Source organism: Homo sapiens, chromosome 15 (genome assembly GCF_000001405.40).
Source record: "Homo sapiens chromosome 15, GRCh38.p14 Primary Assembly".
Taxonomy (NCBI): domain Eukaryota; kingdom Metazoa; phylum Chordata; class Mammalia; order Primates; family Hominidae; genus Homo; species Homo sapiens.
This window is the reverse complement of record NC_000015.10, coordinates 77,143,684-77,160,560: the sequence shown is the minus strand read 5'-3', so window position 1 is coordinate 77,160,560 and position 16,877 is coordinate 77,143,684. Positions and strand designations below refer to the sequence as shown.

General features: G+C 39.8%; 1 protein-coding gene across 34 annotated transcripts in view, besides 2 other annotated features; it reads left to right on the top strand.

Moving 5' to 3' along the window:
- Positions 1–16,877, top strand: part of PEAK1 (pseudopodium enriched atypical kinase 1) — a 320,261-nt gene that overhangs the window by 260,354 nt on the left and 43,030 nt on the right. For all 34 annotated transcript variants that reach the window (XM_047433077.1, XM_047433076.1, XM_047433057.1 and 31 more), the window contains one exon: positions 1,865–2,058. In XM_047433077.1, coding sequence (XP_047289033.1) covers positions 1,865–2,058 — 194 coding nt within the window. The remainder of the gene's footprint in view (positions 1–1,864; positions 2,059–16,877) is intronic.
- Positions 3,863–4,362: an enhancer, noted in NCBI's record as "NANOG-H3K4me1 hESC enhancer chr15:77448541-77449040 (GRCh37/hg19 assembly coordinates)". NCBI's record gives its function as "activates a minimal SCP1, AML or CMV promoter by ChIP-STARR-seq in naive and primed H9 embryonic stem cells {active_cell/tissue: H9 hESC(naive and primed)}" and the evidence as "EXISTENCE:reporter gene assay evidence [ECO:0000049][PMID:30033119]".
- Positions 4,363–4,864: an enhancer, noted in NCBI's record as "NANOG-H3K4me1 hESC enhancer chr15:77448039-77448540 (GRCh37/hg19 assembly coordinates)". NCBI's record gives its function as "activates a minimal SCP1, AML or CMV promoter by ChIP-STARR-seq in naive and primed H9 embryonic stem cells {active_cell/tissue: H9 hESC(naive and primed)}" and the evidence as "EXISTENCE:reporter gene assay evidence [ECO:0000049][PMID:30033119]".

The following is a 16,877-nucleotide window of genomic DNA, read 5'->3' as shown; positions in this document are numbered from 1 at the left end:
GAAACTACAGGCGTGCACCACCATGCCCAGCTAATTTTTGTGTTTTTAGTAGAGACAGGGCTTCACCATGTTGGCCAGGATGGTCTCCATCTCTTGACCTCGTGATCCGCCCGCCTCAGCCTCCCAAAGTGCTGGGATTACAGGTGCGAGCCACTGAACCTGGCCAGGGGGCTGATATTTTTAAGGGACTTTATATTTATTGCTTTGAAACTAGAAATGGTTTCTATTAACTTTTGCCAGAAAACATTTTCCCTTTCTTGAAGCATGTTGATAACTACTCAGTAATATACACTCTTGACACGAAGTGGTACCTGAGTGTCTTGGAAGTGTCACTTTGTTTTGTCTTCCCTAATGCGTGGAGATAGATCCCCCATGTTATCTTGATTTTATGGTGCTCCATATTATGAGAAACCAACTTTGTGTGGAGCCCCTCTTTTGGGTTGATGACCGAGGGCAGCCCATCGAGAAGAGGCAGTATGCTTTACTGTGTGAGGCCTCCTTTATATATACTACTCTCTTGACTGCTAGAAAAGTGATTCCTTCCAACCTCACCACTGTCCTCAAGAGCCAGATCCCCTAATGGAACTTCCAGCTCATTGCTTATTCCCAGTATAGAGAGACCTCTGGCTCTGCCAACTTTGAAAGGATATTTTTGAAGTTGTATATCCAGCAGACATCAAGGCTTATTTTTCTGTCCAGGCACATGCATAATTTCCATAATGAAAAATTGATAAGAGGGTACTCCTTTGCCTTTAGATCTACTCCCTTAAATCCACAGGCGATATATGTTCTGATGGCACACGATCAAACAAAGTACCTCTTTAAAGAAACTGGTAAATGTCACCATGACTCACTGCCAATTGAAAATCCACAAATAACCTGTAATCATATATGTTTCCTTTCCTTCCTTCTTTCTTTTTTTCATAAAGAAACCAGGAAAAATAGCTAATGAATGTGTGATAATCTAGGAATACTTTTCAGTGGGCCCAGCAAACTTTAAAGATGCATGATTTTGAATTAATTTAATTGACCAGTCCATTGAGATTTTCTAACTAGGCCAGTTTTCTCCACCAGCAACAGAATTGGCACAGTTCAGGCAGATTGGGGAGTGGGGAAGATGGGAAGAAGTAGCTATAAGCATATGAGCAGGCAATGGTAAAACAAGATTGGTCATATACTGGTATGCAGCCAGGAGGATGCTTCAGATTCATTTTAATAAATGAGATTAACTAGACTACGAACTTTCTTTTCCATTTGCCTTCCCTGCTGCATGCAGACAGGCAAAGGTTGATGCTTCTATTCTCTTGGCAACAAGACCTTCCTGGCCTCAGTGTACCTACTAAAACAATGGCTTAACTTCCTTATGCAGTTAGTTTAATCTCAACTTTATTCCTGATCCTGATTTAGTACACACTAAAGTGTGTACTAAATACTATATATAAATTAAAACTATGTAGTAAAGTACTTGATATTTACCATAGTATTAGAATACTATAATTAGTAAGTATAGTAAATACTTTACTAAATACTTGAGTATATTTGTCTTTAGCCAGTTAAACATTCAGCTCCTTCTACCACCAACATCACCACCTCCCACCTAAATAAAATGTTTCACTCTTTGACTGTTATTCTCAAGTTCCCTTGCAGGCTACCATACCTGCTCTATCAAATTGGGTTCTCAATATGTGTGAATCAAGGTAAATAGAAGTATCTGCCTAAATGAAGTACTGCCTTGTGTTCAGACAAGTGTATTGTGACTATAGGACCAGTTATTTACATTTATGGGAAGTATATGCCTTCCATAAATCTAAATTTTAGTAGAACCTTCCAATACCAGTGTGACAAGTGGTCTGATTTGTTTCAGTCACATGACCCATGAAGTAACAGAGGATTTTTCTCCTCGGGATCCAAGAACTGTTGTTGGGAAGCAAGATGGCAGGGGCTGCACTTCAGTCACAACAGCATTGTCCCTACCTGAACTGGAAAGGGAAGATGGAAAAGAAGACATTTCAGATCCTATGGACCCGAACCCTTGTAGTGCAACATACAGCAACTTAGGTAAGTGCAAATGTCCAATAAGTAGTATTTAAACTTTGCCTTTTTCTGTACTAGCCAAATGTTCTGTTTTCTTGGAGAGATGGTTTTTATTGCTCCATGAAGCAGAATTTGGACCATTGGAGTTACAAATTTTAAGTCACATCAGAAAAACGTTCTGATGTTTACTAGGCATGTATTAAACACCTGCACCCATGAGCCCTGTGCCAAGTGCTAAGGGTTATTAACACTGCTTTGAGGGACTCACCTGGGGGGAAAGAGGTGAACTTGTTAATTATTTCAGTGTAATATAAATACAGTGATAGAGATATACACATGGTATATTTTTAATATTACACAGAGGAGGGTGTCAAAAGATACCTTTCTGGAGATAATTCCTGAACTGATTTAACTAGCTGACAAAGGGGAGAAAGAATATTCCAATCAGAGACAACAATATGAGCAAAATCATGGAGATGCATGTAGGCACCACAAACATTTAGTGTTGCTGAAATGTGAAGTGGAGAGTTAGCCAGTGTCATGCATTTCAGGCTAAAACCTTAGACTTTTTGCTGTTTATGTTAGTGAGCCATCAAAGGTTTTTAAGCAGAGGAATAACACAATTAGATTTGTTTTTTAAAACATCCATCCTGCAGGCTGCCATGTGTATGTGGATTATTTGGTAGCAGGAAATTTGGTAGTTAGATACTATTGCAGGATCACACAAAGGCATGAGAAAGGGAGGCCTCAACTAAGATAGTGGGAGGGGGGACAGTAGACAGATTTGAGAGATATTTAAGACGAAAAATACACAAGATTGGATAATGTAAAGAATCTATAATGTATCCCAGATTTCTGGCTTGGATCAAGCAGACTCAAAAAAGTAAAGATCCCTGTTATTGGAGGTATATAGGCAGAGGCTGATGGACCATCTCTCAGAGATATTGTGAGGAGGATGCTGCACTGCAAAGAGGGTTGAGCTAAATTACTTCAGAGGTGCCTGCCAATGCAAAGATTCTGCAATTCTCTGATCATCTTCACTCGTCTTCCTTGAATGCTCAGTGACTTCTTACCTGTCTCCCTTGAGTGCCACACACTTTCCTTCCTTCTGAAAAGCAAAGCCTGAGGCAGAATAAGGATTTCTCAGTGCTCTTCTTCCATGAAGTCAGGAGAGAGGTGAGTAGCCTGGACTACTACATGCAGAGCACAAGCAAGATTCATATGAACTACTGACCAATCCTTAGACTGTTTGGAAACCAGTGGCATCTATCATTGAAGTTTTTTTACCTCATTTCTCATCTCCTTTCTTCTTTGTCCTTTTCCTTTGTCAGGTTATTCTAAGGAAAAATAATTCTAACACTAGCTAGTGTACTTGGAAATAAAGGAGTCCCTAAGAAGGCCAGAAAATTATGGTAACACTGTGGGAGATAATACTTTAATATCTCTTTTTGGGAAACACAATCATAACAACCCATATGCAGTTGAAAATACATTGTGTAAGAAGAAGACTTCCATTCTAAGTTCCAGAAGCTTTTTGTGATTTGGGAGTAGGGGAAACATACTATAGTTTACCTAAACTACTATCTTGGATACCGTTTTCAACTTGGAACAGATTTTATCATCAAACAGCTTATTGGACTTTTCCCATTATTTGATATTTTGTGAGGCATATTATAAAATGAAAATGTACTGTTTACTTACTGTATACCCTCAGACAGCATAATATATCAGAAATTATAATATCTTCTAGACATTCTTATTAAACCAAAATTTCTTTCATGATAGCCTCAGTAAAATATTTAATTTTTACTAATTGTACCATGTTTGATGGCATCTCTATAAATTTTTATTAGCTGACATTAGTTAAAATTATTTTATTTCGGGAGCCAAGATGGCCGAATAGGAACAGCTCCGGTCTACAGCTCCCAGCATGAGCAACGCAGAAGACGGGTGATTTCTGCATTTCCATCTGAGGTACCGGGTTCATCTCACTAGGGAGTGCCAGACAGTGGGTGCAGGACAGTGGGTGCAGCACACCGTGCGCGAGCTGAAGCAGGGCGAGGCACTACCTCACTCGGGAAGCGCAAGGGGTCAGGGAGTTCCCTTTCCTAGTCAAAGAAAGGGGTGACAGACGACACCTGGAAAACCGGGTCACTCCCACCCTAATACTGTGCTTTTCCAACGGGCTTAAAAAACGGCACACCAGGAGATTATATCCCGCAACTGGCTCAGAGGGTCCTATGCTCACGGAGTCTCACTGATTGCTAGCACAGCAGTCTGAGATCAAACTGCAATGCAGCACCGAGGCTGGGGGAGGGGCGCCTGCCGTTGCCCAGGCTTGATTAGGTAAACAAAGCAGCCCGGAAGCTCGAACTGGGTGGAGCCCACCACAGCTCAAGGGGGCCTGCCTGCCTCTGTAGGCTCCACCTCTGGGGGCAGGGCACAGACAAACAAAAGGACAGCAGTAACCTCTGCAGACTTAAATGTCCCTGTCTGACAGCTTTGAGGAGAGTAGTGGTTCTCCCAGCACGCAGCTGGAGATCTGAGAACGGGCAGACTGCCTCCTCAAGTGGGTCCCTGACCCCCGAGCAGCCTAACTGGGAGGCATCCCCCAGTAGGGGCAGACTGACACCTCACATGGCCGAGTACTCCTCTGAGACAAAACTTCCAGAGGAACGATCAGGCAGCAGCATTTGCAGGTCACCAAAATCCACTGTTCTACAGCCACCGCTGTTCTGCAGCCACCGCTGCTGACACCCAGGCAAAAAGGGTCTAGAGTGGACCTCTAGCAAACTCCAACAGACCTGCAGCTGAGGGTCCTGTCTGTTAGAAGGAAAACCAACAAACAGAAAGGACATCCACACCAAAAACTCATCTATACGTCACCATCATCAAAGACCAAAAGTAGATAAAACCACAAAGATGGGGAAAAAACAGAGCAGAAAAACTGGAAACTCTAAAAAGCAGAGCACTCTCCTCCTCCAAAGGAACACAGTGCCTCACCAGCAACGGAACAAAGCTGGATGGAGAATGACTTTGACGAGTTGAGAGAAGAAGGCTTCAGACGATCAAACTACTCTGAGCTACAGGAGGAAATTCTAACCAATGGCAAAGAAGTTAGAAACTTTGAAAAAAAATTAGACGAATGGATAACTAGAATAACCAATGCAGAGAAGTCCTTAAAGGAGCTGATGGAGCTGAAAGCTAAGACTCGAGAACTATGTGAAGAATGCAGACGCCTCAGGAGCCGATGCGATCAACTGGAAGAAAGGGTATCAGTGATGGAAGATGAAATGAATGAAATGAGGCGAGAAGGGAAGTTTAGAGAAAAAAAGAATAAAAAGAAATGAACAAAGCCTCCAAGAAATATGGGACTATGTGAAAAGACCAAATCTGCGTCTGATTGGTGTACCTGAAAGTGACAGGGAGAATGGAACCAAGCTGGAAAACACTCTGCAGGATATTATCCAGGAGAAGTTCCCCAATCTAGCAAGGCAGGCCAACATTCAGATTCGGGAAATACAGAGAACGCCACAGATACTCCTCGAGAAGAGCAACTCCAAGACACATAATTGTCAGATTCACCAAAGTTGAAATGAAGGAAAAAATGTTAAGGGCAGCCAGAGAGAAAGGTCGGGTTACCCACAAAGGGAAGCCCATCAGACTAACAGCTGATCTCTTGGCAGAAACTCTACAAGCCAGAAGAGAGTGGGGGCCAATATTCAACATTCTTAAAGAAAAGAATTTTCAACCCACAATTTCATATCCAGCCAAACTAAGCTTCATAAGTGAAGGAGAAATAAAATACTTTACAGACAAGCAAATGCTGAGAGATTTTGTCACCACCAGGCCTGCCCTGAAAGAGCTCCTGAAGGAAGCACTAAACATGGAAAGGAACAACCAGTTCCAGCCACTGCAAAAACATGCCAAAATGTAAAGACCATCAAGGCTAGGAAGAAACTGCATCAACTAACGAGCAAAATAACCAGCTAACATCATAATGACAGGATCAAATTCACACATAACAATATTAACTTTAAATATAAATGGGCTAAATGCTCCAATTAAAAGACACAGACTGGCAAATTGGATAAAGAGTCAAGACCCATCAGTGTGCTGTATTCAGGAAACCCATCTCACATGCAGAGACACACATAGGCTCAAAATAAAGGGATGGAGGAAGATCTACCAAGCAAATGGAAAACAAAAAAAGGCAGGGGTTGCAATCCTAGTCTCTGATGAAACAGACTTTAAACCAACAAAGATTAAAAGAGACAAAGAAGGCCATTACATAATGGTAAAGGGATCAATTGAAAAATAAGAACTAACTATCCTAAATATATATGCACCCAATACAGGAGCACCCAGATTCATAAAGCAAGTCCTTAGTGACCTACAAAGAGACTTAGACTCCCACACAATAATAATGGGAGACTTTAACACCCCACTGTCAACATTAGACAGATCAACGAGACAGAAAGTTAACAGGGATACCCAGGAATTGAACTCAGCTCTGCACCAAGTGGACCTAATAGACATCTACAGAACTCTCCACCCCAAATCAACAGAATATACATTTTTTTCAGCACCACACCACACCTATTCCAAAACTGACCACATAGTTGGAAGTAAAGCAGTCCTCAGCAAATGTAAAAGAACAGAAATTATAACAAACTGTCTCTCAGGCCACGGTGCAATCAAACTAGAACTCAGGATTAAGAAATTCACTCAAAACCGCTCAACTGCATGGAAACTGAACAACCTGCTCCTGAATGACTACTGGGTACATAATGAAATGAAGGCGGAAATAAAGATGTTCTTTGAAACCAATGAGAACAAAGACACAACATACCAGAATCTCTGGGACACATTCAAAGCAGTGCATAGAGGGAAATTTATAGCACTAAATGCCCACAAGAGAAAGCAGGAAAGATCTAAAATTGACACCCTAACATCACAATTAAGAGAACTAGAAAAGCAAGAGCAAACACATTCAAAAGCTAGCAGAAGGCAAGAAATAACTAAAATCAGAGCAGAAGTGAAGGAAATAGAGACACAAAAAACCCTTCAAAAAATCAATGAATCCAGGAACTGTTTTTTTGAAAAGATCAACAAAATTGATAGACCGCTAGCAAGACTAATAAAGAAGAGAGAAGATTCAGAGAGATGCAATAAAAAATGATAAAGGGGATATCACCACCGATCCCACAGAAATGCAAACTACCATCAGAGAATACTACAGACACCTCTACACAAATAAACTGGAAAACCTAGAAGAAATGGATAAATTCCTCGACACATACACCCATCCAAGACTAAACCAGGAAGAAGTTGAATCTCTGAATAGACCAATAACAGGCTCTGAAATTGTGGCAATAATCAATAGCTTACTAACCAAAAAAAGTCCAGGACCAGATGGATTCACAGCCGAATTCTACCAGAGGTACAAGGAGGAGCTGGTACCATTCCTTCTGAAACTATTCCAATCAATAGAAAAAGAGGGAATCCTCCCTAACTCATTTTATGAGGCCAGCATCATCCTGATACCAAAGCCTGGCAGAGACACAACCAAAAAACAGAATTTTAGACCAATATCCTTGATGAACATTGATGCAAAAATCCTCAATAAAATACTGGCAAACCGAATCCAGCAGCACATCAAAAAGCTTATCCACCATGATCAAGTGGGCTTCATCCCTGGGATGCAAGGCTGGTTCAACATTCGCAAATCAATAAATGTAATCCAGCATATAAACAGAACCAAAGACAAAAACCACATGATTATCTCAATAGATACAGAAAAGGCCTTTGACAAAATTCAACAACCCTTCATGCTAAAAACTCTCAATAAATGAGGTATTGATGGGACAAATCTCAAAATAATAAGAGCTATCTATGACAAACCCACAGCCAATATCATACTGAATGAGCAAAAACTGGAAGCATTCCCTTTGAAAACTGGCACAAGACAGGGATGCCCTCTCTCACCGCTCCTATTCAACATAGTGTTGGAAGTTCTGGCCAGGGCAATCAGGGAGGAGAAGGAAATAAAGGGTATTCAATTAGGAAAAGAGGAAGTCAAATTGTCCCTGTTTGCAGATGACATGATTGTATATCTAGAAAACCCCATCGTCTCAGCCCAAAATCTCCTTAAGCTGATAAGCAACTTCAGCAAAGTCTCAGGATACAAAATCAATGTACAAAAATCACAAGCATTCTTATACACCAATAACAGACAAACAGAGAGCCAAATCATGCGTGAACTCCCATTCACAATTGCTTCAAAGAGAATAAAATACCTAGGAATCCAACTTACAAGGGATGTGAAGGACCTCTTCAAGGAGAACTACAAACCACTGCTCAATGAAATAAAAGAGGATACAAACAAATGGAAGAACATTACATGTTCATAGGTGGGAAGAATCAATATCGTGAAAATGGCCATACTGCCCAAGGTAATTTATAGGTACAATGCCATCCCTATCATGCTACCAGTGACTTTCTTCACAGAATTGGAAAAAACTACTTTAAAGTTCATATGAAACCAAAAAAGAGCCTGCATTGCCAAGTCAATCCTAAGCCAAAAGAACAAAGGTTTTTGGTTACTACAAGGCTACAGTAACCAAAACAGCATGGTACTGTTACCAAAACAGAGATATAGATCAATGGAACAGAACAGAGCCCTCAGAAATAACGCCACATATCTACAACCATCCGATCTTTGACAAACCTGACAAAAACAAGCAATGGTGAAAGGATTCCCTATTTAATAAATGGTGCTGGGAAAACTGGCTAGCCATATGTAGAAAGCTGAAACTGGATCCCTTCCTTACACCTTATACAAAAATTAATTCAAGATGGATTAAAGACTTACATGTTAGACCTAAAACCATAAAAACCCTAGAAGAAAACCTAGGCAATACCATTCAGGACATAGGCATGGGTAAGGACTTCATGTCTAAAACACCAAAAGCAATGGCAGCAAAAGCCAAAATTGACAAATGGGATCTAATTAAACTAAAGAGCTTCTGCACAGCAAAAGAAACTACCATCAGAGTGAACAGGCAACCTACAAAGTGGGAGAAAATTTTTGCAATCTATTCATCTGACAAAGGGCTAATATCCAGAATCTACAATGAACTCAAACAAATTTACAAGAAAGAAAACAACACCATCAAAAAGTGGGCAAAGGATATGAACAGACACTTCTCAAAAGAAGACATTTATGCAGCCAAAAGACACATGAAAAAATGCTCATCATCACTGGCCATCAGAGAAATGCAAATCAAAACTGCAATGAGATACCATCTCACACCAGTTAGAATGGTGATCATTAAAAAGTCAGGAAACAACAGGTGCTGGAGAGGATGTGGAGAAACAGGAACACTTTTACACTGTTGGTGGGACTGTAAACTAGTTCAACCATTGTGGAAGTCAGTGTGGCGATGCCTCAGGCATCTAGAACTAGAAATACCATTTGACCCAGCCATCCCATTACTGGGTATATACCCAAAGGATTATAAATCATGCTGCTATAAAGACACATGCACACGTATGTTTATTGCGGCATTATTCACAATAGCAAAGACTTGGAACCAACCCAAATGTCCAACAACAATAGATTGGATTAAGAAAATGTGGCACATATACACCATGGAATACTATGCAGCCATAAAAAATGATGAGTTCATGTCCTTTGTAGGGACACGGATGAAATTGGAAACCATCATTCTCAGCAAACTATTGCAAGGACAAAATACCAAACACCACATGTTCTCACTCATAGGTGGGAATTGACCAGTGAGAACACATGGACACAGGAAGGGGAACATCACACTCCGGGGAATGTTGTGGGGTGGGGGGAGGGGGGAGGGATAGCATTAGGAGATATACCTAATGTTAAATGACAAGTTAATGGGTGCAGCACACCAACATGGCACATGTATACATATGTAACAAACCTGCACTTTGTGCACATGTACCCTAAAACTTAAAGTGTAATAAAAATAAAATAAATAAATAATTATTTTATTTCATTGTATTCTCAGTTATGAAGACTGGTAGAAAAAAAATAAAGCATTGCCTCTGTGAATATTCTAAGTGCCTAACATATATTAGCTCATTTAATCCTCACAACCATCCTAAGAGTTATTATCCCCATTTTTCAGATAAAGAAAGCGAGGCAGAGTGCTTTTCCTAAAGTCACAGAACCAGTAGGAGTTTAACCAGCTGGAATCGAGTCGATCTTAGCCACTAGACTTTAATGTCCTTAATCACTAAATTCTTGTAAAATGCTGAAGGGCTCCTACTGTTTTCCTTTTTTTAAAAAAAGAAGTCATGTACTTTCAGACATAAAATTTAAGACTTAAAAAAAACATCATCACTTTGCATTCAAAAACTTAAAATGATTATAGATGCCCTATCAGAAAGATAGCTTTCTCTCTACCTGTTGCCTTCCTTTTAAAAGTATGTGATGCTGCCAGGCACGGTGGCTCATGCCTGTAATCCCAGCACTTTGGGAAGCCAAGGTGGGCAGATCACTTGAGCTCAGGAATTCAAGATTAGCCTAGGCAACATGGCAAAACCCCATCTCTACAAAAAATAACAAAAATTAGCCGAGTGTGGAGGCATGTACCTGTGGTCCCAGCTACTTGGGAGGCTGAGTTAAGATTATCCTTGAGCCCAGGAGGTCAAGGACACAGTGAACTGAGATTGCACCACTGCTTTGCAGCCTGGGTGACAAAGGGAGACACTGTCTTAAAAAAAAAAAAAGTGATGCCAATAAGATATTGTCCAGTTTTCCTTAAGTGCTCAAGTGTCTATATACTTGACTCTGTAGGGTATAATACATTATGATACAAGGTTGCTTCTTTGGAAAGGTAATAAAGTTGACTCCAATAGTTCTAAGCTAAGGGGGTTTTGTTTTGTTATTTTTCCTAATGAAACAAGTATTTTAGATGGCATTTGGAAATTTCCTTTTTTAATACGTTCAACAAGTCATTTGCATGCAGTTTTAAACTACTCCTTTCAGTAATGTTTTATGATTTAAAGACTTGATAACTTTTAAAAATGGTGTGTTTAAAAACTAAAAGACAGCAAAACCTCCTAACGCAATGGCTTTAGATCCTTTTAAATATTCCAGAACCAGTCCATAAAGACCACTTTCTCTTTTTTCTTTTCTTTGTTTCTTTAATAAGGCAGTGGATGGATTGACAGATGTGGAAGAAACTAAGGGGGAAAAATTCAAGGCTTACCATCATTTTTACTGTGGAATTTGTTTCTGAAAATTACATTGTGAAGCAGGTTTAGGAAGCAGTGTACTATAGCAGGAAAAAAGATAGATTTGACGGATCCATGGGATTTAGGTTTCTATAAGAGCTGTGTCATTGCCCACTTGCATGATTGTGGGCTGGCTATTTAACATCCCTGAGCTTCAATTTCCTCATCCAAAATGAAGGAATAGTGACATCTGCTTTATAGAGCTAGTGGCAGAGAAGTACTTGGTACATAGAAGTCCTTACTAGTTGTGAATTCCTTTATTTCTCCCCAAAAATATACTCTTCTTTTTCCTTTTAAAAAAATACTTTAAATTTTAAATTTTCTTAGCGACAGGGTCTTGCTCTATCGCCCATGCTGGAGTGCAGTGGCGCTATCATAGCTCACTGCAGCCTCAAACTCCTGGGCTTAAGCAGTCCTCCCTTCCCAGCCTCCCGAGTAGCTGGGTCTACAGGCGTGCACCACATGATCAGCTAATTTTTTAATTTTTTTTTTTTGTAGAGATAGAGTCTCCCTATGTTGCCCAGGCTAGTCTCAAACTCCTGGCCTCAAGCAGTCCTCCAACCTTGGCCTCCCAAAGCACTGGGATTACAAGGGTGAGCCACCATACCTGGCTTCCTTCTCCTTTAAATATGTTAGATATGGTAGCCAGAAAATGTAAAGTGGAACGGATTTAAAATGCTTACTAAATGGCTTAAATAAGCAGAACAACAAAATGTAAATCTAAAATATTGTGGGCTTCCTGCACAACTCATGACCAAAGATGTGAAATGAAAAACAGACTACAGGATCCCCAAGGTAGCTAACAGGGAACAGAGGAGAGGTGACAAATAGTGACAGCTGTGCAGATCCAGTTCCTTAAGATCTGCCAATTATAACAAAACAAAGGGACATGGACAATTTGTTGTGTAATTCTCACATTTCTTATATAGTTTTAAAAAACTCCATTTAAAAAAAACACTCAACTGGAATAGGCCTTGATTACCCTCCTTCAGAATCTCCCGTGAGTCCTCTACCCTCTCAGCCATCTTATTACTTCCACTGTGGTGCAATAGGAGTTGTGATTGAACCATTCCCACAAAGAGCTCCTGATTTATGCAACCCATATATTTTTCTTTTTTACTTTAGGCATCTACCTCCAGGATTAATTCAGATGTCATTCTTGTTGTCCTGAATGTAAATAATGCAAACTTTATTTTGTTCATAACTGAATTATTATTCAATACAGTCACCACTAGGCATATATGGCTTCTTAAATATAAATTTATAAAAATAAAAATTCACTTCCTCAGTCTCACTAACAACATTTCAAATGCCTAGTAGCCGCATGTAGATAGTAGCTACTGCATTAGACAGTGAAGATATAGAACATTTCCATTGTTACACAAAGTTCTATTGAACAGCTCTGCTTTAAAGAATGTGTTATTTGGGGGATTTATATTGTCTTCTATGTTGCACAAAAATCACATTGGTCTTTATGCAACTTGACAACTTAAGAAGGTTGCCCCTCACAGAATGATGATTTTACTCTGGGTGGTGATCATATAAGATCACTTAATGAACTCTGATCTGTAACACCTTAACTGACCCCAAGCTGAATTTTATAGGGTGTCTGTCCCCCAAAATGATTCCCCAAAGAAGTAATAAAATTTGTTTGAATCAGACCTTGAACATTTTCCCTGTGTTTCTGTGTTTATCTCAAAATAGACAGAGATCACTGTTTTTTTAATGTGGCATATCTGACTGCTTTATCAGACTGCGAAAATCAGGAGCATGTAATGAGATAGCGCTCCTTCAATCACTTTGTAATCAAGTACTCATATCTTCTACATTCCTTTTTAGAAAGATCTATAATATCTCCCTTTATTCAACCGATTTTTGGCTTGTTCCTCTTTCTGCATCCCAACATCCTAGAGCATTATCTAAAACACACAGTAGGTACTAAGAATGTGTTTGAGTGAACGAGCTAAAAATGACTTTTGGATTTGACTTTAGAAGATTACCAGATTAGGAAAATCTGGCTCTGCTCAGGAAAGTTCATCTAGGAAAATTTCAAGTCTATGTGCTCCATTAATCAGCTGGCTTTTCTTTTTCTAATATGAGGCTTCGTCCATAGGTTTCCTAATTAAGGAGTTATGTAAACCATGCCTCTGTTTCCTTTCTATAGATCAACACAAGAAACTGCACATTTTCTCATTTTACTTACTTTGAGCATCTCCTTTAGGCTTTATCCTTCAAACACTGAAAGAAAACACATAAGTCTTCTGTCTCCAGAACTTCCTTTGGCATTAATATTGATTGTTAGTGTTAAATTTTACGGGGTGGATATACTTAAAAGAATGTCATTACCTTGCTGGCCTTGATGTTGTAATTATAGAATAATGTTGTTATAAATGCCAGCTTTTTAAAAAAAATTATGCTGAGGATTACATTATCATTCACTCATTTCCTCAACAAATAATTATTGAGCAGACATTATTCCACACACTGCATAGCTAATGATTTGAACCAATGGCTAAAGAATTGCACAGTTTTAGCTCATTTAGATGCTTAAAAAATAAAAAACTGAGGTTGAGAGCTTTGAACATTTGTTTGAGCAGTTGTACTTCCTAAAATTGTAATTATTTCTATTTAAAAAGAAATCATACACTCTGTCCCGAAGTTAGCTGCATTCCCATTTAAAAATAGTTTTCCATATACTAGAATTAGTTGAGAGAGTGCAGTATTTAAATTATGTAGATAAATTACCCCCAAAAAAATAATCTCTGTTTTTGGAGAGGTTTCCACTAATGAGGACTTACAAAAATTAAGTCAGCCAGCTGCTATACGACTGACATTCTTTAAAATGGTCTTTATATCTGTTTATTTGAGGCTAAACCCAAAGTTTTCTTTGGAAATCAGGTTCGTTTTATTGTTTGGCATGAAGTTGATATCCCCTGTGATTTGCCAGTTGTTGCTTATATTTGACTATGGTAGGCCTCAGCACAGTAATAATGCCTAGGTAGATTAGGCCCCTTCCTCCTAAGCTGCTGATGCCTGCTGGAGGGGGATGATGCACTGAGCGCTAGGTTCAGCCAATGAGATACCCTATTCATTTGACAAGGCTGCTGCACAGTGATGGTGTGTGGTTTATAAACTCTTTGTATTCCCCGCTATGCACTAGTGGAGGCGATGGTCTCTTATTTTGTTCTCCCTTCTCTTTCTCATCTGTATTACTTGTTTTGAGCCCTGGGGAGAAAATTAGGGACGAAGATTGAAATTATAGTTTAAATAGGAAGATAAGTTCTATTTATTTGGGTTTTAATGCTTTTATTCAGCAAACATTTGTTGAACACCAACTATCTCCCTGGTACCAGGCTAAGTGCTGGGAATACTAATGTATTTTTCAAGGACTTCTGATCTTTGGGAGAGATAGACATGGGGCTGGACTCTTAGGACCATGATAGTTGCTGTGATGCAGATATTTAAAGGTTTAATGAAAGCCTTTGCCTGGAGGAGTCTGGAAGAGGGTCACAAAAGGCATATCTTTTACTTGTAGCAAATGGAGAGCCACTGAAGAATTTTGAGTAGAGGCACAATCAGGATTTTTTAAAAGATTCTGTGAGCTACCTATGAGATGACAGGAGGCAGAGAGATCAACCAGGAAATCATGCTACTCCTGCACAAGTGGGTCATTGTTAGTGTTCTTTATCCCTAGCACCCTAAGACTGTAATGATTACCTACCAGGTCATAAGCAAACATTTGTTTGCTTTCCAGAACATGATATAGGGCCCGTCAGTCTGAAGACATTTTTTTTTTTTTGAGATGGAATCTCACTCTGTAGCCCAAGCTGCAGTGCAGTGGCATGATGGTGGCTCACTGCAACCTCCACTTCCCAGGTTCAAGCGATTCTCATGCCTCAACCTCCCGAATATCTGGGACTACAGGCACATGCCACCACCCCCAGCTAATTTTTTGTATTTTAGTGGAGATGGGGTTTCACCATGTTGCCCAGGGTGGTCTCGAACTTCTGAGCTCAGGCGATCCACCCACCTCGGCCTCCCGAAGTGCTGGGATTACAGGCATGAGCCACCGCACCTGGCCTGAAGACATTTTTAAGTGGGGAGAAAGTAAAGAGGTAGATTATGGAAGCTCAGAAAAAGAGAAAAGTAAGTTTTGAGTGTGGTTTAGTCAAACATATTTGTCCAAAAGAATGTTTTTAGCATATAGCAAGGCAAGATTTAGAACACAATCTATTTTTTTCTGTTTAGAACACTGGTATGCCACAAAAATGTAGAGTATGTGATGTTATATTAGGCCTGCTGAAAGCTGAGCTTGGTGTCTGGTCCCAGGGGCTTGACAGGAATGTACAGGATTAAAAGTTTAAAATAAAAACAGCTAAGATACCAAGCTTTTAAAACATTGACCCAAATGATTGGAATTCAGTTAGGAGAACTTGTCTTTCTTGGAGGAAAAAAACTAAAAGCGCAAACCAGTTTTAGACTTAGGAGAATGGCTTGACCTACTTGCATGGGCTGTGGAATGTTTGTGGTTTCATTTGGAACGCATAAGTTTCTGATTCTCATGTGGAAATCTCCTTAGCTCCCAGGAGATCGTATCCTGCTATTTGGGAAGAGAAGCCACATTACTTATCTTTATTTCCTTGCTACCTTGGCTGTCCATTTCCATTTTGAATTGATGACCAACTCTGTTGACTCTGTCTCTCAGTCCAGCAGCCACTTACTGCATACCTGCTGTGCGCCTTACATCACATCAGGTTCTGAGGGGATGTAAAAACACACACTTTATAAAAGGCTAAAAATGCTTTAGTAAAGCAAAAAGTGCTAAGAGAACACAGAGGAAGAAGCTGTGGCTTCCAGTTTGAGGTGGAGGAGTAGAGAGTAGGGAAGGCTTCATTTGGTAAGTGCCATTTGAGCTAGGCCAAGGACAGACACCCTTGCTAAGGCAAAAATGTAAAAATAAAAATATGGAACATATTAACAGGAAATGAGTGATTCATAGGAAGGGTTGATGAGAAATAGTGGTAGATAAGACAGAGAGCCTTGACCAACTTGCTGAGGAGTTTGAACTTCATTCTCTAGCTGGCAGAAAGTCACACGATCAGCCGTTCTTCACCTCCTCTGATAAGCATTAAAGAGCTGCTGATGATGATAGACCTTCTCTCCCTTGTCAGTTCTGAGGTTATAAAAGAAAAAAAGGTACTTTTGGAATTCTCCATTTCTCTCATGTCTGTGATTATTTTTGTTTCTTCTAATTTGGAGAAATGGGCAGAACATGGCTGCCCATAAAGCTTCTTACAGGGCCCACACTGGAATAGGTAAGAATAGGTTCATGTTCTAGTTTTCTTATTTATTCCATTCTGCTCTCAGCCCAGATTCTTTGCTTGGTCTTGGGTACACAAATGAGACACAGTCCATTCCCTCAATGAGCAAACCAGTAGGGAATTCAGAATGGAACACAAGTCAAGGGTTGTAAGTGCTTACAGAGAAATATTCACAGGGTCTATCTGAGGGCCCAAGAAAGGTCAATTCTGGGGAGTGGAGTAAGAAATATTCCCTAGAAGCAG